We start from the raw sequence: 19,241 nt of genomic DNA on the forward strand, positions 1-19,241 counted from the left end.
TAAAAAGGAATAAGGTTCTGACGCATGCTACAACATAAATGAGCCTTGAAAACATGTAAAGTGAAATAAGCCAGACACTGAAGGACAAATAAATCCATTTGTGTGAAATCTGTAGAATAGGCAAATATGTAGAGATAGAAAGTAGACAGAGGTTGGGAATTAGGGTAGGGAATTAGGAATTTTTATCTTATCTTACTTTTCATTTTTTTGAGACAGGGTCCTACTCTGTCACCCAGGCTGGAGGGAAGTGGCTCACTGCAGCATTGAACTCCCCTGGCTCAGGTGATCCTCCCACCTCCAGCCTCCAAGGTAGCTGGGGCTACAGGTGTGCACCACCACACCTGGCTACTTTTTGCATTTTTTTTTTATAGAGATGGTGTTTCACCATGTTTCCCAGGCTGGAGTTATTACTTAATGGGTATAGAATTTCTGTTTGAGGTGTTGAAAAAGTTTTGGAAATAGTAGTGATGGATGTACAATATTGTGAGCGTAATTGATGCTCCTGAATTATACACTTGAAATGGTTGGCCGGGCGAGGTGGCTCACGCCTGTAATGCCAGCACTTTGGGAGGCCGAAGCGGGCGGATCACAAGGTCAGAAGATAGAGACCATCCTGGCTAACATGGTGAAACAACCCTGTCTCTACTAAAAATACAAAAAATTAGCCAGGCCTGGTGGTGGGTACCTGTAGTCCCAGTTACTTGGGAGGCTGAGGCAGGAGAATGGCATGAACCCGGGAGGCGGAGCTTGCAGAGAGCTGAGATCATGCCAATGCACTCCAGCCTGGGCGACAGAGCAAGACTCCGTCTCAAAAAAAAAAAAGAAAAAAGAAAAAAAGAAAAGAAAAGAAAGAAAAACAAAAAAGAAAAAAGAAATTGGTTAAAATGGCAAATTTTATGTTACATACATTTTAACAGTTGGGCATATCTGTGTGGGTTCATTTCTGGGTTCTCTGTTGTGTGTCACTGATCTGCTTATCCCTCCATCAAGATGACAAAGTCTTGATTACTAGCTATGTGATAAATATTAAAATTGGGTAGACTGATTCGTCCCACTTTTCTTTTTGAAAATTGTTTTAGCTATTTTAGTTCCTTTGCATTTCCATATAAATTTTAGAATAATCTTGTCTATATCTACAAAATAAATCTTGCTAGGATTCTGATAGGAATTGCACTAAACCTGGAGGAAATTGACATTTTTTTACCATGCTGAATCTTCCAATCCATGAACATAATGTATCTTCCCATATGTTTGGATATTATTTTATTTCTTTTGTGTTTTGTAGTTTTTGATATATACATTCTGTATATTTCAATTTTTTGAGTGAATACAAATATTGTATTTAAAATTTTAGTGTCCATGTGTTTATTGCCAGTATATAAAATACAGTTGATTATTATTATTATTATTTGTTTTTTTGAGACGTAGTCTCACTCTGTCCCCCAGGCTGGAGTGCAGTGGTACAATATCGGCTCACTGCAACCTCGGCCTCCCAGGTTCAAGTGATTCTCCTGCCTCAGCCTCCTGAGTAGCTGGGATTACAGGTGCCTGCCACCAGACCCGGCTAATTTTTTGTATTTTTAGTAGAGACAGGGTTTCACTATGTTGGCCAGGCTGGTCTCGAATGCCTGACCTCATGATCCACCCACCTCGGCCTCTCAAAGTGCTGGGATATAGGCGTGAGTCACCATGCCTGGCTGAAATACAGTTAATTATTGTGGGAGGTTTGTGTTTTCAGATTTCTTGGGATTTTATATGTAGGAAATAACGTCTTCTATAAGTAGCAAAAGTTTTATTTTTTCCTTCCCAATCTATATGCCTTTTATTAATATTTCACTTTCTAGCCCTAATGCATGGCTAGAACTTTGAGCACCATGTTGAACGAGACCAGTGAGGTTGAACATCTTCCCTTGTTCTGATCTTAGTGAGAGAGCATTCAGTTTTTTACCATTAAGTATGTTAGCTGTAGGGATATTCTTTTCTTTTCTTTCCTCTTTTCTTTTCTTTCTTTCTTTCTTTGGAGGTTAAAAAAAATCAAATTGGGAAAGTTCTTCTCTATTCCTGTTTTTCATAAAATTTTATACCATGAGTAGGTGCTAAATTTTGTCAAATATTTTTTCTGCCTTCATAGAAATGATCAAGTGATTTTCTTTCTTTCTTTCTCTCTCTTTCTTTCTGTCTTTCTCTCTCTCTCTTTTTTTTTTTTTTTTTTTTTTTGACAGAGTCTCACTCTGTCGCCCAGGCTGGAGCACAGTAGTGGCATGATCTCGGCTCACTGCAACCTCTGCCTCCCAGGTTCAAGCACTTCTACTGCCTTAGCCTCTGGAGTAGCTGGGACTACAGGCACGTGTCACCAAGCCCAGCTAATTTTTGTGTTTTTAGTAGAGACAGGGTTTTGCAGTGTTGGCCAGGCTGGTCTCGAACTCCTGACCTCAAGTCATCCGCCCACCTCAGCCTCCCAAAGTGCTGGGATTATAGGCAAATTTTCTTCTTTATCCCATTGATTGATTGGATTACATGATTTCCAAATATTCAAACATTCTTGCATCCCTGAAATAAACTCCATTTCATGGTGGTATATGATTATATTTATACACTGCTAAATTTTATTTGCTAATATTTTGTTAAGATTTTTGTATCTGTATGAATTATTAATATAGATGGCTCACACTTGTAATCCCAGCACTTTGGGAGGTCATTTGAGGTCAGGAGTTCGAAACCAGCCTGGCCAACATAGTGAAACCCCATCTCTACTAAAAATACAAAAATTAGCTGGGAGTGGTGGGGGGTGCCTATAATCCCAGCTACTTGGGAGGCTGAGGCAAGAGAACTGCTTGAACCCAGGAGGCGGAGGTTGCAGGGAGCAGAGATTGTGCCACTGCATTTCAGCCTGGGTGACAGAGCAAGACTCCATCTCAATAAATAAATTAATAATAATAATAATAAAATACAAATACAAAAATTAACCAGGCATGGTGGCACACGCCTGTAGTCCCAGTTCCTCGGGAGGCTAAGGTAGGAGAATTGCTTGAACCTGGGAGGTGGAGGTTGCAGTGAGCAGGATCGCAACAGAGGGAGACTCTGTCTCAAAAAAACAAGAAAAAAGAAATACAGGTCCAGCTGGGCAGGGTGGCTCAAGCCTGTAATCCCAGCACTTTGGGAAGCCGAGGCAGGCAGATCATGAGGGTCAGGAGTTTGAGACCAGCCTGGCCAACATAGCGAAACCCCATCTCTACTAAAAATACAAAAATTAGCTAAGCGTGGTGACGCACGCCTGTAGTACCAGCTACTCGGGAGGCTGAGGCAGGAGAATCGCTTGAACCCGGGAGGCGGAGCTTGTAGTGAGCTGAGATCCCACCACTGCACTCCATTCTGTGCAACAGAGTGAGACTCTGTCTCAAAAAAAAACAAAAAGAAAAGAAAAGAAATATAGGTCTGTAGTTTTATATTCTTTGTGTGTGTGTGCACTTATTTGTACTGAATTATCTGGTTTTAGTATCAACTTCACAAAATAACTGAGAAGTATTCCCTCCTCTTATATATCCTGAAACTATTAAAATGTTGGGTAGCAATCTCCTGGAACATAAAGGTGCATCCTATAACCATCTGGGTCATGAGATTTCTTTTTTGGCAGTTTTAAAATTATAAATTCAATTTCCTTAATGATTACAGGCTACTAGGTTGGGCGCAGTGGCTCACACCTGTAATGCCTGTAATCCCAGCAATTTGGGAGGCGGAGGCAGGAGGATCACATGATGTCAAGAATTTGAGACCAGCCTGGCTAATATGACAAAACCCCGTCTCTACTAAAAATACAAAAATTAGCCGGGTGTGGTGACAGGTGACTGTAATCCCAGCTATTTGGGAGGGTGAGGCACGAGAATCGCTTAAACTCAGGAGGCGAAGGTTGCAGTGAGCCGAGATTGCGTCACTGCACTCCAGCCTGGGTGACAGAGTGAGACTGTGTCTGAAAAAAAGAAAAAAATTAATAATAATAATAGGCTGCTAAAATTATCTATTTTATATTGGGCGAGTTGGGGTACTTTGCGCTTTTGAGAAATTGGTCTTTTCACGTGCATTGTCAAGTGTATGTGTATACAGTTGTTTGTAGCATTCTGTTATTATTTTGATATCTGCAGGGTCTATAGTGATATCTCATGTTTCACTTCTGTTATTGGTAATTTATGTCTTCTTTCTTTTTTTCTTTTTAGTCGTGATAGCAGTTGTTGCTTTAACTGATATTTTCAAAGAACAAGCTCTTTGTCTCATTGATTTTCTCTATTGTTTTTCTCGTCTCGATTTTATTGATTTCTACTCTTATTATTTCTTTCCTTTTATTGCTTTGGATTTATTTTGCTCTTTTTAAAGTAGGTTCTTGAGATGGGAGTTTAGAATATTAGTTTGTGAGTTTTCCTCTTCTAATGTGCGCATTTAGTGCTATAAATTTCTCTCTAAGCAGTACGTTAGCTGTGTCCTTATAATTATGATATACTGTATTTTCTTTTTTTTTTTCATAGAGGTAGGGTCTCACCTTGTCACCCAGGTTGGTCTCAAACTCCTAGCTTCAAGCAATCCTCCTGCCTCAGCCTGATATGTTGTATTTTCATCTTTTTCTTTTTTTTTCTTTTTCTATTTTTTGAGACAAGGTCTTGACCTGTTGCCCAGGCTGGAGTTCAGCGACGTGATCATGGCTGGCTGCCACCTGTCACCCCAGGGCTGAAGTAACCCTCCTGCCTCAGCCTCCTGAGTAGCTGGGACTATAGGCAAGCACCACCAAGCCTGGCTTTTTTTTTTTTTTTAAAGAGATGGGGTCTCACTATGTTGCCCAGGCTGGTCTTGAACTCCTGGGCTCAACAGATCCTCCCGCCTTGGCCTCCCAAAGTTCTGGGATTATAGGCATGAGCCACCGCACCTGGCCTGTATTTCCATTTTCATTTATTTCAATGTATTTTCATTTCCCTGAGACTTACTTTTTGGCCCATGGATTATTCAGAAGCATGTTGTTTATTTTCCAAGTGTTTAGAGACTTCCCTGCTACCTTTCTGTTATTGATTTCTACTTTGAGTCCATTGTAGCTGGAGAACATACTCTGTATCATTTCTTTTTTTTTTTTTTTTTTGAGATGGAGTTTCACTTTTTTTGAGATGGATTTTCGCTCTTGTTGCCCAGGCTGGAGTGCAATGGTGTGATCTCGGCTTACTGCAACATCCGCCTCCTGGGTTCAAGCAATTCTCCTGCCTCAGCCTCCCTAGTAGCTGGGATTACAGGCAGGCAGCTGCCACCACGCCCAGCGAATTTCTTGTATTTTTAGTAGAGACTGGGATTCACTATATTGGCCAGGCTGGTCTTGAATTCCTGACCTCAGGAAATCCACCCGCCTCAGCCTCCCAAAGTGCTGAGATTACAGGTGTGAGCCACCGTGCCCAGCCCCGCTTCAATTCTTTATATATTTATTGAGGTTTGTTTTATAGCCCAGGGTATGGTCTATTTTGGTATATGTTCCATGGGCACTTGATAATAAGATACGTGATATGTTGTCTTTCAGTCCTCAGTTTTTGCTGATATTTATGTTCTTTTATTCTTCTCTGCTTATAATTGTCTTATTTATTTATTTATTTATTTATTTATTTTTGAGATGGAGTTTCGCTCTTGTTGCCCAGGCTGAAGTGCAATGGTGCAATCTCGGCTCACCACAACCTCCGCCTCCTGGGTTCAAGCAATTCTCCTGCCTCAGCCTCCCAAGTAGCTGGGATTACAGGCATGCGCCACCACAACTGGCTAATTTTGTATTTTTAGTAGAGACGGGGTTTCTCCACGTTGGTCAGTCTGGTCTCGAACTCTCGACCTCAGGTGATCCACCCGCCTCGGCCTCCCAAAGTGCTGGGGTTACAGGCATGAGTCACCGCACACAGCCCTTTTCTTTTTTCTTTATGAGCAAGGACTTGAGCAATAATTGTCTTTACTATGCCCTCTACATACATTTAGAACTACATTGGAGAGTTATAACTTTTACTTCAATCATCAAACATAATTTAGAAAACTCAAGAGGAGAAGAAAAATCGATTGCATTTACCCATATTTTTGCTTACCATGTTCTTTCTTGCTTCCTGATGTACCAACATTCCTTTTTCTAAAAAAAATCCTTTCCTTTCTGTTTAGAGAAATTCCAACTTCTTTTAGCTATTTTTTTAAAAATTGTAGAGATGGAGCCAGGTGCAGTGGCTCACGCCTGTAATCCAAGCACTTTGGGAGGCCGAGACGGGTGGATCACCTGAGGTCAGGAGTTCAAGACCAGCCTGGCCAATATGGTGAAACCCCATCTCTACTAAAAATACAAAAATTAGTCGGGCCTGGTGGCGCATGCCTGTAATTCCAGTTACTCAGGAGGCTAAGGCAGGAGAATTGCTTGAACCCAGGAGGTGGAGGCTGCAGTGAGCCGAGATTATGCCACTGCACTCCAGCCTGGGCAACAGAGCAAGACTCTGTCTCAAGAAGAATTTAAAAATTAAAAAAAAATTGTGGAGATGCGGGTCTCACTATGTTGTCTCGGCTGGTCTCAAACTCCTTGCCTCAAATGATCCTCCTGCCTCGGCCTCCCAAAGTGCTGGGATTACAGGTGTGAGTCACTGTGCCCAGCCCTTCTTTATATCTTCTTTATCTCTGCTGAGACTTTCTATTTCTTTGCTGAGACTATTTTTTAATTGTTTCAAGTGTGTTCATAATTGCTAATTAAAGCATTTTTTATGCTGGCTGCAGTAAAAACTTTGTCATATTATTCTAACATCTTTTTCATCTTGATGCTGACATTTATTGTCTTTTTTCATTCAATTTGATATATTGTTATAATGAGTGATTTTTGGTGGTGACCTGAATATTCTGAGTATTATGTTATAAGACTCTGGATGTTATTTATTTTTAATTTAATTAATTAATTTATTTATTTATTTTGAGATGGAATCTCCCTCTGTTGCCCAGGCTGGAGTGCAGTGGCAGGATCTCGGCTCACTAAACCTCTGACTCCCGAGTTCAAGCTATTATCCTGCCTCAGCCTCCCAAGTAGCTGGGATTACAGGTGCATGCCACCACACCCAACTAATTTTTATATTTTTAGCAGAGATAGGGTTTCACCATGTTGGCCAGGCTGGTCTCGACCACCTGACCTCAAGTGATCCACCCGACTTGGCCTCCCAAACTGCTGGGATTGTAGGTGTGAGCCATCCCACCCGGCCTAATTTTAATTTTTAATTAAGATTCCCCATTGTTAAGCAATGAACCTTATTTATTTATTGAGATGGAGTCTCACTGTGTCACCATCTCGGCTCACTTCAACCTCTGCCTCCTGGGGTCAAGTGATCCTCATGCTCATGCCTTAGCCTCCCAAATAGCTGGGATCACAAACCTGTACCACCACACCTGGCTTTTTTCTTTTTCTCTTTTTTTTTTTTTTTTTGAGACAGAGTCTCACTCTGTCGCCCAGGCTGGAGTGCAGTGGCATGATCTCGGCTCACTGCAACCTCTGCCTCCTGGGTTCATGTGATTCTCCCGCCGCAGCCTCTGGAGTAGCTACGACTACAGGTGCACACCACCATGCCCAGCTAATTTTTTGTATTTTTTGTAGAGATGGGGTTTCACCATGTTGGCCAGGCTGGTCTTGAACTCCTGACCTCAGGTGATCTGCAGCGCCTCAGCCTCCCAAAGTGCTGCGATTACAGGTGTGACTCACCCCACCCGGCCACTGCACCCAGCTGGATCTTACTTAAACTTCTGTTTTAGCTGGCCTCCTCTAACACCAGCAAGGAAAGAGGAGCACTACCTTGTTACTGCCAGATGGGGGCAGATGTCCAGGTTCCTCATTTGGCCTCTGTTGACAACCTAGGAGTGGCTCCTTGTTACTACAAGGTGAGGGTGGGAGTACTCGCTCCCCACTAGGCCTCCAGTGATAGCTCCCTGGCTGGAAAGCGTAAGAGTACATTATGCTCCCCATGGGGTTTTCACTGACTCTATACCACAAGGGAGGCTGGTATTGGGGGTGAGGGAGTAAAAGAAAAAAACCTGTTTTCCAGCGGGGCGCAGTGGCTCACGCCTGTAATACTAGCACTTTGGGAGGCCAAGGTGGGTGGATCACCTGAGGTCGGGAGTTTGAGACCAGCCTGGCCAACGTGGCGAAACCTCCGTCTCTACAAAAAATACAAAAAATTAGCCGGGTGTGGTGGCAGTCGCCTATAATCCCAGCTACTAGGCAGGGTGAGGCAGGAGACTCGCTTGAACCTGGGGGGCGGCGGAGGTTGCAGTAAGCCTAGGTGGCACCACTTCACTCCAGCCTGGGCAAAAGAGTGAAACTCTGTCTCAAAAAAAAAAAAAAAAGAAGAAGAAAAAAACTGTTTTCCTGTACACTCATGAAACTTCTGACACCAAATGTGTGGAGTTTTCCCTCACAGTAAGCAATTCTCCAGCTCTCTAGATCCCAGTCGGGTGTACTACAATTATGACAGTAACTACCCAGAATTAGCACAGACCACACAGGTTAAGGGTTCAGTCTCACAAGACTATCCCAGTTCAGAAGTCAGTCTCAAATTCCAAGTTGTGACTTGTACTTCTGACCCACTGGCTATAAATCAGGGGCTCCCATGACTCCCTCCTGGGGCTTGATAATTTGCTGGATGGCTCGAGGAACTCAGGAAAGCACTTTACTTGCAATTACCCGTTTATTATAAAGAATACAATTCAGGAAGAGCCAAATGAAAGAGATGGATTGGGGCCAGGCACAGTGGCTCACGTTTGTAATTCCAGCACTTTGAGAAGTGGTAGTAGGTGGATTGCTTGAGTCCAGGAGTTTGAGACCAGCCTGGGCAACACAGTGAGACTGTCTCAAAAAAAAAAAACAAAAACAAAAACAAAGAAAGAGATACATTGGGCAAGGTATAGGAATGGATGGGCTGTATGAGGGTTCCAGGCCCTTGCTAGAGGTGCCACCCTTCTAGCACCTCAGTGTGTTCACCAACCCAGAACCTCTCCAAACCTTGTCGGTTAGGGATTTTATGGAGGTTCTATTATGTAGGCATGATTAATTAAGTCAGTGGCCATTGGTGACTAAGATCCTCTCCCTTCCCTGGAGTTCAAGGTGTGGGACTGAACATTCTATCCAGGGTTGGTTCCTCTGGCAACTAACCCCTATCCTCTAAGAGTTACCTCATTAGCATAAATTCAGGAATGGTTAAACGGGCTTATTACTGTTAACTTAAAAAAAATCACAAGATTTATAAATTTAGAAGTGGAGACTTTATTTCTTGTAAAGTGTTACAGCCTGCAAGGTGGCCATCCCAGAGGCTGGGAAACGCAGCCTCCAGTAGAGACCTGGAAACAGGCATTTCAAAGGAGGAGGGGCTGGGGTAGGAGCTTTATGCTGAAGGAGTTGGCTAAACATACATATTTAACAGGCTAGAGGAGGAGCTATGAATATTCATGAAGGTGGTCCTGGTGCATGCATGTTGAATAAACATGCATGTTACTTATGAACTATGTTCACCTTGGGGTGGAGACTCAACATTTAAATGTATTACGGTTAGGCCCTATTCATCAGAGGTCTTTTCAGGACACAAAAGGACTTTTAAGCACGCAGTCTACGTAAACTGGCTAGACCCAGTCCTTGGTCAGTGGTCTTCTTATCAGGAGAAAGTTACTGAAATCAATCTCTTGTCCAATCAGAGCTGTAGTTATGGCTTATGGAACAAAGTCAGTTGGTCAGCATGTGGTGGTTGTAAGCTGCAACTGCTTCAACATTGTTTATCTCAAGGCCAGTGCTTATTTAGCTGCTAGAGAAAAAGAAAAACCTTGTGGTGGTTAGGACATAGGTTATTCTTTAAGTGTAGGAGTGCATGGCTTAACACTTGCCTGGCATGGCCTTAGATCCTGTTTATAATTTGTATCTTATTATCATAAAGATAATCTGTTCTGTCAGTCTTTTTTTTTTTTTTTTTTTTTTTGAGATGGAGCTTCGCTCTTTTGCCCAGGCTGGAGTGCAATGGCGCGATCTTGGCTCACCACAACCTCCGCCTCCCAGGTTCAAGTCATTCTCTTGCCTCAGCCTCTTGTGTAGCTGGGATTACAGGCATGTGCCACCACACGTGGCTAATTTTGTATTTTTAGTAGAGACGGGGTTTCTCCATATTGGTCAGGCTGGTCTCGAACTCCCGACCTCAGGTGATCTGCCCGCCTCGGCCTCCCAAAGTGTTGGGATTACAGCCGTGAGCTACTGTGCCCTTCTGTCAGTCTTTTTGAGACAGGGTCTTGCTCTGTTACCCAGGCTGGAGTGCCAGGGCACAATCATGGCTCACTGCAGCCTCGAACTCCAGGCTCAAGTGATCCTCCACCTCACCCTTCCAAGTAGTTGGTACCACGGGTGTGCACCACCATGACCAGCTAATTTTATTTTATTTTACTTTTGTAGATGCGGAGGGTGGGAGGGTGGTCTCCCTGTGGTGTTCAAGTGAAACCCCATTGCAAAATTGGAACTGACGCAGGGAAAGAGATCTGAACCTAACCAACTCCAACTTGCTTCTAATCTCCTATCTGTCCTTGTTCATTCCTGGGCATAGGCCAAAGTAACTTTGGGAGGCACTTAGTTTTTAGTTTATGGTTTAAAGCAAAGATGATAACAGCCCTTTCCCAAAACAAACCCCTTTCTTGCCTGGAGACTAGGCTGCCTTTGTGGGACTAACAAACTAGCCAAAAGATTAAAAATTATGGTTTAGGAGTCATGCAGCTGGAGGCGATAAGATTCTGACCCTTCCCAAATTGCTCCTGGGGCTAACATCACTATTGTAAAGATTCAGATCAGTGCTTGAGATATTTTGCAAACTCTGAACTTGATGGATCAACTGGCACCACCCAGACTGATACATTGACTCATGTGATCTTGTTGCCCCCACCCAGGAACTGACTCAGCGCAAGAGGAAAGCTTCAACTCCCTTCCATTTCGTCTCCTACTTGACCAATCAGCACTCTTGACTCACTGGCTGCCCCCTCACCCACCAAGTTGTCCTTAAAAACTCCGATCCTGGGCTCGGTGGGGTGGCTCACGTCTGTAATCCCAGCACTTTGGGAGGCAGAGGCGGGCGGATCAATTTGAGACCAGCCTGGCCAACATGGCAAAAACCCATCTCTACTAAAAATACAAAAATTAGTCTGGCGTGATGGCACGCCTGTAATCCCAGTTACTCGAGAGGCTGAGGCAGGAGAATCGCTTGCCTCCCTTGCTGGGAGGCTGAGGTTGCAGTGAGATTGCACCACTGCACTCCAGCCTGGGCAACAGAGTGAGACTACCTCTCAAAAAAAACGAAAAACAAAACAACAAAAATCCTACTCTGATCCCTGAATGCTCCGGGAGACTGATTCGAATAACAATAAAACTCTGGTCTCCAGCACAGCTGGCTCTGCATGAATAACTTTCTCTATTGCCATTCCCCTGTCTTGATAAATCGGCTCTGCCTAAACAGTGGGCAAGGTGAACCCATTGGGCAGTTACACAGGCTGGTCTCTAACTCCTGGACTCAAGCAATCCTTCGCCTCGGGCTCTCAAAGTATTGGGATTACAGACATGAGGCTCTGTGCCCAACCTGTTTTGTCAATCTTATGATCTCTATTTTAACATCAATGATGGTCAGTTGTGTCTAAACTGCAACAGGGAGGGGGTACAAAGAGGCATGTCTGACCTCCTATCTCGTTATAGCTGGGAACTCAGTTTTTAAGGTTTCTTTGGGGTCCTCTTGGCCAAGAGGTGGTTCATTCAGTCAGTTGCAGGGCTTAGGATTTCATTTTTAGTTAACGTGATGAATAACAAAAGATGTGCCCCTCACATCTATCAGTCAGGAAATTCCAAGGGTCTCAGAAGTTTTGTGCAAGAAACTGGGACCAAAAATCAAATATAGATCTCTTATTAATATATCACAATATCAGAAGGAAGCAGTGGTGGGAGAGGGAACTGGACTCCTTATAGTGAAAATCCTGACTTTCCAGTAGGCCTCCTCTGATCCACCCCAGCAGGGCAGGGTACGATGCCTCCTACTGCCAAAGGGAAGTAGAAATCCAGGTTCCCCAAGTGATCTCCATTGACACCAAGAATTTAGGTGGGGCTCATTATCACCTGGTGGGGATGGACAACCCTGTTCCCTACTCAACTTGGTGAGGGGACAAGAGATTGGGGCACCTCATTAAGAGCCTGGCAAGTGCGGATGCCTAGGCTCTAAGAAAAGAAAGACAGCTACGAACAGTCTGAGCTCTGTGAGGTATGTAAAACTTATCAGGCCCAGAGACATGAGTATGGGCCTTCAGGCACCTCCCCACTCATGTCTGGGGGCATTTTTTTTTTTGAGTGTCGCTCAGGCTGGAGAGCAGTGGCACAATATCTGTTCACTGCAGCCTCAACTTCCTGGGCTCAAGCAGTCCTCCCACTTTAGCCTCCTGAGGAGCTGGGACTACAGGCATGCGCCACCACACCCAGCTAAATTTTTGTATTTTGTAAAGATGGGGTTTCACCATGTTGCCCAAGTCTCGAACTCCTGAGCTCAACTGAGCCACCACTCCAGGCTGGCGGCAATTGCTCCTGACTAGTATTTTGTTCCGGACTAGCTGCCTCACCCATTGTCTTCATGTTCCTGGAACTTGTGATACAACGAACAATGTATAGCCAATCAATAGCTTCAGTTATTTTAATGTAAATTCTTGGTAAACAATCTAGGAACTGCCTATTTCCTTCAGAAACACACTTGTGGCCGGGCACGGTGGCTCATGCCTGTAATCCCAGCGCTTTGGGAGGCCGAGGTAGGTGGATCGCTGGAGATCCGGAGTTTGAGACCAGTCTGGCCAACATAGTGAAACTCCATCTCAACTAAAAATACAAAAAAAAGTAGCCAGGTGTGGTGGCGCATGCCTGTAGTCTCAGCTACTCGGCAGGCTGAGGCAGGAGGCAGAGGTTGCAGTGGGCCGAGATCCAGCCACTGCACTCCAGCCTGAGCGACAGAGTGAGACTCCGTCTCAGGAAAAAAAAAAAAAAAAAAGAAAAGAAAGAAAGAAAGAGAAACACATTTGTAATGACTGCTAATTAGAGTATATTCAGAGCAACTTGGATCTACACTCCTCGTTTGCAGTCCTCAGACTTGGCCCAAGTACACTCTCTACTTATATTAAGATTGCCTCAGTTTTTTTCCCTTTAGGTTGATAGCTCTCCACCTGGCCTTTATTACCATTGGTGGAAGTGGGGCTACAGATTTTTCTTTGGTGTTTGGCTGACATGGTTATTTTCTAAAAGTTTTCTGCCTTTCTAGGCTTTCTTCTGGTCCTTTGGCTGTCTGTCTTCCTGCACTTTCCTCATCATTTGGCTAAAGAGAGAAGGCTTCTCTTGGAGCTTCTTTCATATTTCAAGGTTTCAACTTCTTAAGTTCCAGGTTTGGAAGATATAAGGACAAAAAAGCAGCAAGAAACTTACCACTAAGTCATTCCTTGGGTTTCCAGGTCGCTAGCCAGCCTGCCTCCTTCTCGCCAGCTGTCAAAGTCTTCTTATGCTTCTTGTATTTGTAATGCCTCGGGTTTTTAGTTGTACTTAGAAAAAGAATTGGAAAAAGTATGCCTACTCTATCTCCCTGGAAGTGAATTCTATTGTATTAATTTTATGCTTACCTTTTGTTTAGGGCAAATGATACTGGCTGAAAAACTCCAGTGACTCTGATTTTTTTTTTCTATTCCCACATTAAGACAACTATTGTTATGGTATGAGGAATACATTAAATTATTCTAAGAGCTCTATAAAGCAATTCAAGCACAGGTCAAAAGGCCAGGTCAGGCTGGGAGTGGTGGCTCACACTTGTAATCCCCCTGTAATCCTAGCAATTTGGGAGGCCAAGGTGGGTGGATTGCTTGAGCTCAGGAGTTCCAGACCAGCCTGGGCAACATGGTGAAACCCCGTCTCTGCAAAAAACACAAAGATTAGCCAGATGTGGCAGCTCACTTCTGTACTCCAAGCTACTTGGGAGGCTAAAGTGGGAGGACCTCTTCAGCTTTTGAGCCTGGGAAGCAGAGGCTGCAGTGAGCCGACTGTGCCACTGCACTCCAGCCGGGATGACACAGCCAGACACTGTCTCAAAAAAAAAAAAAAAAAAATCCAGGACTTCAGTGCTCTTTATAAACTGAATTAGATTTATCAATAGCCCACCCTACCCCTTTAATTCTAATGGTGGTCATATACATATAATTCTCTTGAAGCATTAACATCTATGACTTTGATGCATTTACTTTAAAATTTTGTTTTGCTTGCACATTGCTTTTTCTTGACATGTTTTGTAAAACTATTGCCTTTGTTTATATGTAACAGAAGCCAATTAGAGCCTGCTTTAGCAAAAAGAAAAGTAATGTGGCCGGGCACGGTGGCCCATGCCTGTAATCCTAGCACTTCGGGAGGCAGAGGTGGGTAGATCACCTGAGGGCAGGAATTCAAGACCAACCTGGCCAATATGACAAAAACCCATCTCTACTGAAAATACAAAAATTAGCCGGGCGTGGTGGCACGCGTCTATAGTCCCAGCTATTCGGGAGGCTGAGGCACAAGAATCTCTTGAACCACGAGAATCGCTTGAACCACAAGAATCGCTTGAACCACGGGAGGCGGAAGTTGCAGTGGAGCCAAGATCGCTCCACTGCACTCCAATTGGGCCACAAAGTGAGACTGTCTCAAAAAACAAAACAAAACAAAAAAAAACCCCAAAACTAGGGTGTTTCATGAAACTCAGTGATTGGTACGCAGACAGACCCTAGTAAGGGCCTGGAGTGTCAGGAATAGTCTCTGCTTCATCTCTGCTTTCTCCACACATCTGCTTCTTTCTTTCTCCCTGAAAACTAACCTCTGTCTGCCTCCCAGTACTCAAAACAGGAATATGGCTGTGACACAGTCTCTAGTTAGTAAGATGCATCCTCTGGGAAAAGATGGACTGGCACAGTATTTCTTCAGATCTGATTCTAAATTCTTAGGAATAAAAATCCAGGCTGGGCATGGTGGCTCACACCTGTAATCCCAGCACTTTGGGAGGCCAACGCAGGTGGATCACTGGAGGCCAGGAGTTCGAGACCATCCTGGCTAACATGGTGAAACCCCATCTTTACCAAAATTACAAAAATTAGCCAGGCGTGGTGGCACGTGCCTGTAATCCCACCTACTCGGGAGGTTGAGGCATGAGAATTGCTCGAATCCAGGAGGTGGAGGCTGCAGTGAGCCGAGATTGTGCCATTGCACTCCAGCCTGGGCAACAGAGTAAGACCCTGTCTCAAAAAAAAAAAAATCCAAATAGCCAATTAGGATAATGAGTCTACCTGTGGTCCAGTTGGTATGGCCAGAGATGTACATGCTGAGGAATCCCACAGAAAATCCAGAACTGCTAGGAGTCTACTCCTGTATTTCTGTGGATGGGGGCGGCAGTTTCTAAAGACATCCTAAGAGTGTTAAACACATCCTAAGAGTGTTAAACACATTGAGTAACTTGCTCTACTCCTAGAATCTTTGATATACTGTTAAAGATTTATCCACATCAAAATTGTTATGATGTTCCAGGTCAGCCTTCTAACATAACTATGTAAATACACTGAATTCACGATTTGTTTTTCCTGTAATGTTAAAAAGATATAATAAGCAGCAGAAAGACCCATTTTTACATTTGGAAATGAAACTGCTTCAAAGGCTCTAGACTTTCCTTTTCTGGCATTAATTCAGTTAATGTGGAAAGTCGGCACACAGGGTAGTTGACCTTCATCCCATAGTGAGACAGCGGAGGAACTCTTGCCCTAATTCACCGGAGAGGGGCATAGCCCCCAATGACCCAGGTTTAAGAAACTGTAATGTTACCTCTGAAGCCAGTCTTTTTTTTTTTGAGATGGAGTCTCACTCTGTCGCCCAGGCTGGAGCGGGGTGCAGTGGCGTGATTTCAGCTCACTGCAATCTCCACCTCCTGGGTTCAAGCGATTCTCCTGCCTCAGCCTCCTGTGTAGCTGGGATTACAGGCACGCACCACCACACCCAGCTAATTTTTGTATTTTTAGTAGAGACAGGGTTTCACCATGTTGGCCAGGCTGGTCTGAAACTCCTGACCTCAGGTGATCCACCTGCCATGGCCTCCAAAGTGCTGGGATTACAGGTGTGAGCCACCACACCTGGCCTGAAGCCAGTCTTTAACTCAGCAGGTTATGCTATTTGACTATTATTTGTGGACATATAATCGATTTTATTTTTATTTTTGAGACAGAGTCTCTTTCTAACTCTACTGGAAGATAAATCTTTCTTACTTGAAATGGAAACAAACTCATAAATTGTGTCCGGCTTAATCCTTGTAAAATTGTTGTAACATTTACCTAGGATTTTACAACCATTTCCACACTCATAAATCTTGGTCATTGTGCTCAAAACTGTATCTTAAAGTAGGAGCTACTACAGACAATTATATGCTGATGGTTCAAAGGTTCTGAACAGCATAGAAGCTGCTCCATTGTTTGTTCTTGGTATATATACTATGTGTGTTTATAAAGTAAAATTTAAAAAGAGGATATGGAGCAGGAAATTTCACATGAACCTACCTGGTTATAATTTTCTAAGGAATTTTACCTTTCCAACCTAAATCTGGGTTTTGGATTAAGATATCGTTTACAACACTGCCAAGCTCTACTTTTCAATACAACTCTCTTCTTTTCTTTCCTTCCTTTTCTTCCTTTCTTCTTCTTTTTTTCTCTTCCCCATTCATTTTTTATTAATTCATTTATTCTCTCTTTGAAACAGCACTATGTAGCATCTAAAGTTATTATTATTTTTGAGACGGAGTTTCGCTCTTGTTGCCCAGGGTGGAGTGCAGTGGTGTGATCTCGGCTCACTGCAACCTCCGCCTCCTGGGTTCCAGTGATTCTCCTGCCTCAGCCTCATGAGTAGCTGGGATTACAGGCATGTGCCACCACGCCCAGCTAATTTTGTATTTTTAGGAGAGATGGGGTTCCTGTACGTTGGTCAGGATGGTCTCGAACTCCCGACCTCAGGTGATCTGCCCACCTCGGCCTCCCAAAGTGCTGGGATTAGAGGAGTGAGCCACCACGCCTGGCCTGTTATTATTTTTTGAGATGGAGTCTCGGTCTGTCACCCAGGTTGGAGTGCAATGGCGCGATCTCGGCTCACTGCAAGCTCCGCCTCCCGGGTTCACGACATTCTCCTGCCTCAGCCTCCCGAGTAGCTGGGATTACAGGAGCCTGCAACCACGCCCAGCTAATTTCTTTTTTTTTTTTTTTTGGTATTTTTAGTAGAGATGGGGTTTCACCGTGTTAGCCAGGATGGTCTCGATCTCCTGACTTCGTGATCCGCCCACCTTGGCCTCCCAAAGTGTTGGGATTACAGGCGTGAGCCACCGCACCCGGCTCTGTTTTTATTTATTTATATTTATTTGTTTTTGAGACCTAATTAAAAAATTTTTTTTGGCAGAGATTGGGTCTCGCTATGTTGCCCAGGCTGACCTTGAACTGCTGGCCTCAAGGGATCCTCCTGCCTCAGCCTCATGCATAGCTGGGATTACAGACATGAATCACTATGCCTGGCAGGATTAGCAATTTTTCTAAAGATACACTTTCTTATAACTTTATTTACACTTTATTTCTACTGCTAATAGATTTCCCAGGATTTATCCCTTCTTTAAAATAGTGTTCAATTCTGGGTAAGTCTGACCTAAGGGTTTCAAATGATAAAAGGGATAAAATCATCATCAAACAAGTGCATGGTCAGACCACCTTTGTCATGTGGTCAGAGTCATCCTTGGTACTTGATGGGATAAAAAGAAATACCTGACAGGGTCTTATGAAATGAGCGATTTTTAAGAGTTATAAGAATTCAGAAATTAGGGTAAACAGTGTGTGGTACTATTGTTAGAGAATACATTAATTCCAATTTAAAAACAGAGGGCCGGGCGCGGTGGCTCACGCCTGTGATCCCAGCACTTTGGGAGGCCAAGGCAGGTGGATCACGAGATCAGGAGTTCAAGACCAGCGTGGCCAATATGGTGAAACCCTGTCTCTACTAAAAATACAAAAATTAGCTGGGCTTGGTGGCACATGCCTGTAGTCCCAGCTGCTCAGGAGGCTGAAGCAGGATAATCACGTGAGCCCGGGAGATGGAGGTTGCAGTGGGTCCAGATTGCGCCACTGAACTCCAGCCTGGGCGACCAAGAAAGACTCCGTCTCAAAGAAAAACAACAACAAAAAAAATTAGGTCTAAGCCATTTTTTACAAGTAAACATATTTCTTATGAGATAGATATAGTATTGGCTGGGTACAGTGGCTTAGGCCTGTAATTCCAGCACTTTCGGAGGCTGAAGCAGGAGGACTGCTTGAGTCCAGGAGTTTGAGACCAGCCTGGGTTACAGTGAAGTCCTGTGTCTACAAAAAATAATGATAAATAAATGAATAAAAATTATAGTATTTTATTTATACTGTTTTAGTCAGGAATATCATAAACATAAGTGGTTGTTGAAGAGATTAAAAATTATGAAATGGCATTCTCTAGGGAAGCCTGGTTTGCGTGTAAATTCCAGAAATCTCTTCATTTACAGGCTTTGAGTCAAAAAGTAGAGAAGATTTTTCTATACTTAGCTGTTGGAGCATTCATCTGTTTAAAATTTAAGACATAACCCAGGCCAGGCCTGGTGGCTCACGCTTCTAATCCCAGCGCTTTGGGAGGCCAAGGCCTGCCCATCACTTGAGGCTTGAGGTTGAGTTCGAGACCAGCCTGGCCAATACGGTGAAACCCCGTCTCTACTAAAAATACAAAAATTGGCCCGGCGTGGTGGTGCATGTCTGTAGTCTCAGGTACTCGGGAGGCTGAGGCAGGAGAATTGCTTGAACTGGGAGGCAGAGGTTGCAGTGAGTCGAGACCGAGACCGAGCCACTGCACTTCAACCTGGGCAACACAGCAAGGCTCTGTCTCAAAAACAAAAAACAAAAACACAAAACACAAAAACATAACCCAGGTGTCTAGATAAAAATTAAAAAAGGGCTAGGCGCGGTGGCTCTTGCCTGTAATGCCAGCACTTTGGGAGGCCGAGGCGGGCAGATCACTTGGGGCCAGGAGTTCCAGACCAGTCTGGCCAACATGGCAAAACCTGTCTCTACAAAAAATAGAGAAATTAGTCAGGCGTGGTGGCGCACGCCTTTAGTCCCAGATACTGGTGAGGCTG

The 19,241-nt window shown here is 43.9% G+C and overlaps 2 annotated features.

Moving 5' to 3' along the window:
• Positions 7,895-7,954: a silencer, noted in NCBI's record as "silent region_5710". NCBI's record gives its function as "represses an Ori minimal core promoter by ATAC-STARR-seq in GM12878 lymphoblastoid cells {active_cell/tissue: GM12878}" and the evidence as "EXISTENCE:reporter gene assay evidence [ECO:0000049][PMID:35858748]".
• Positions 10,616-11,199: an enhancer, noted in NCBI's record as "H3K27ac-H3K4me1 hESC enhancer chr14:50349409-50349992 (GRCh37/hg19 assembly coordinates)". NCBI's record gives its function as "activates a minimal SCP1, AML or CMV promoter by ChIP-STARR-seq in naive H9 embryonic stem cells {active_cell/tissue: H9 hESC(naive)}" and the evidence as "EXISTENCE:reporter gene assay evidence [ECO:0000049][PMID:30033119]".

Source organism: Homo sapiens, chromosome 14, assembly GCF_000001405.40.
Source record: "Homo sapiens chromosome 14, GRCh38.p14 Primary Assembly".
Lineage (NCBI taxonomy): Eukaryota > Metazoa > Chordata > Mammalia > Primates > Hominidae > Homo > Homo sapiens.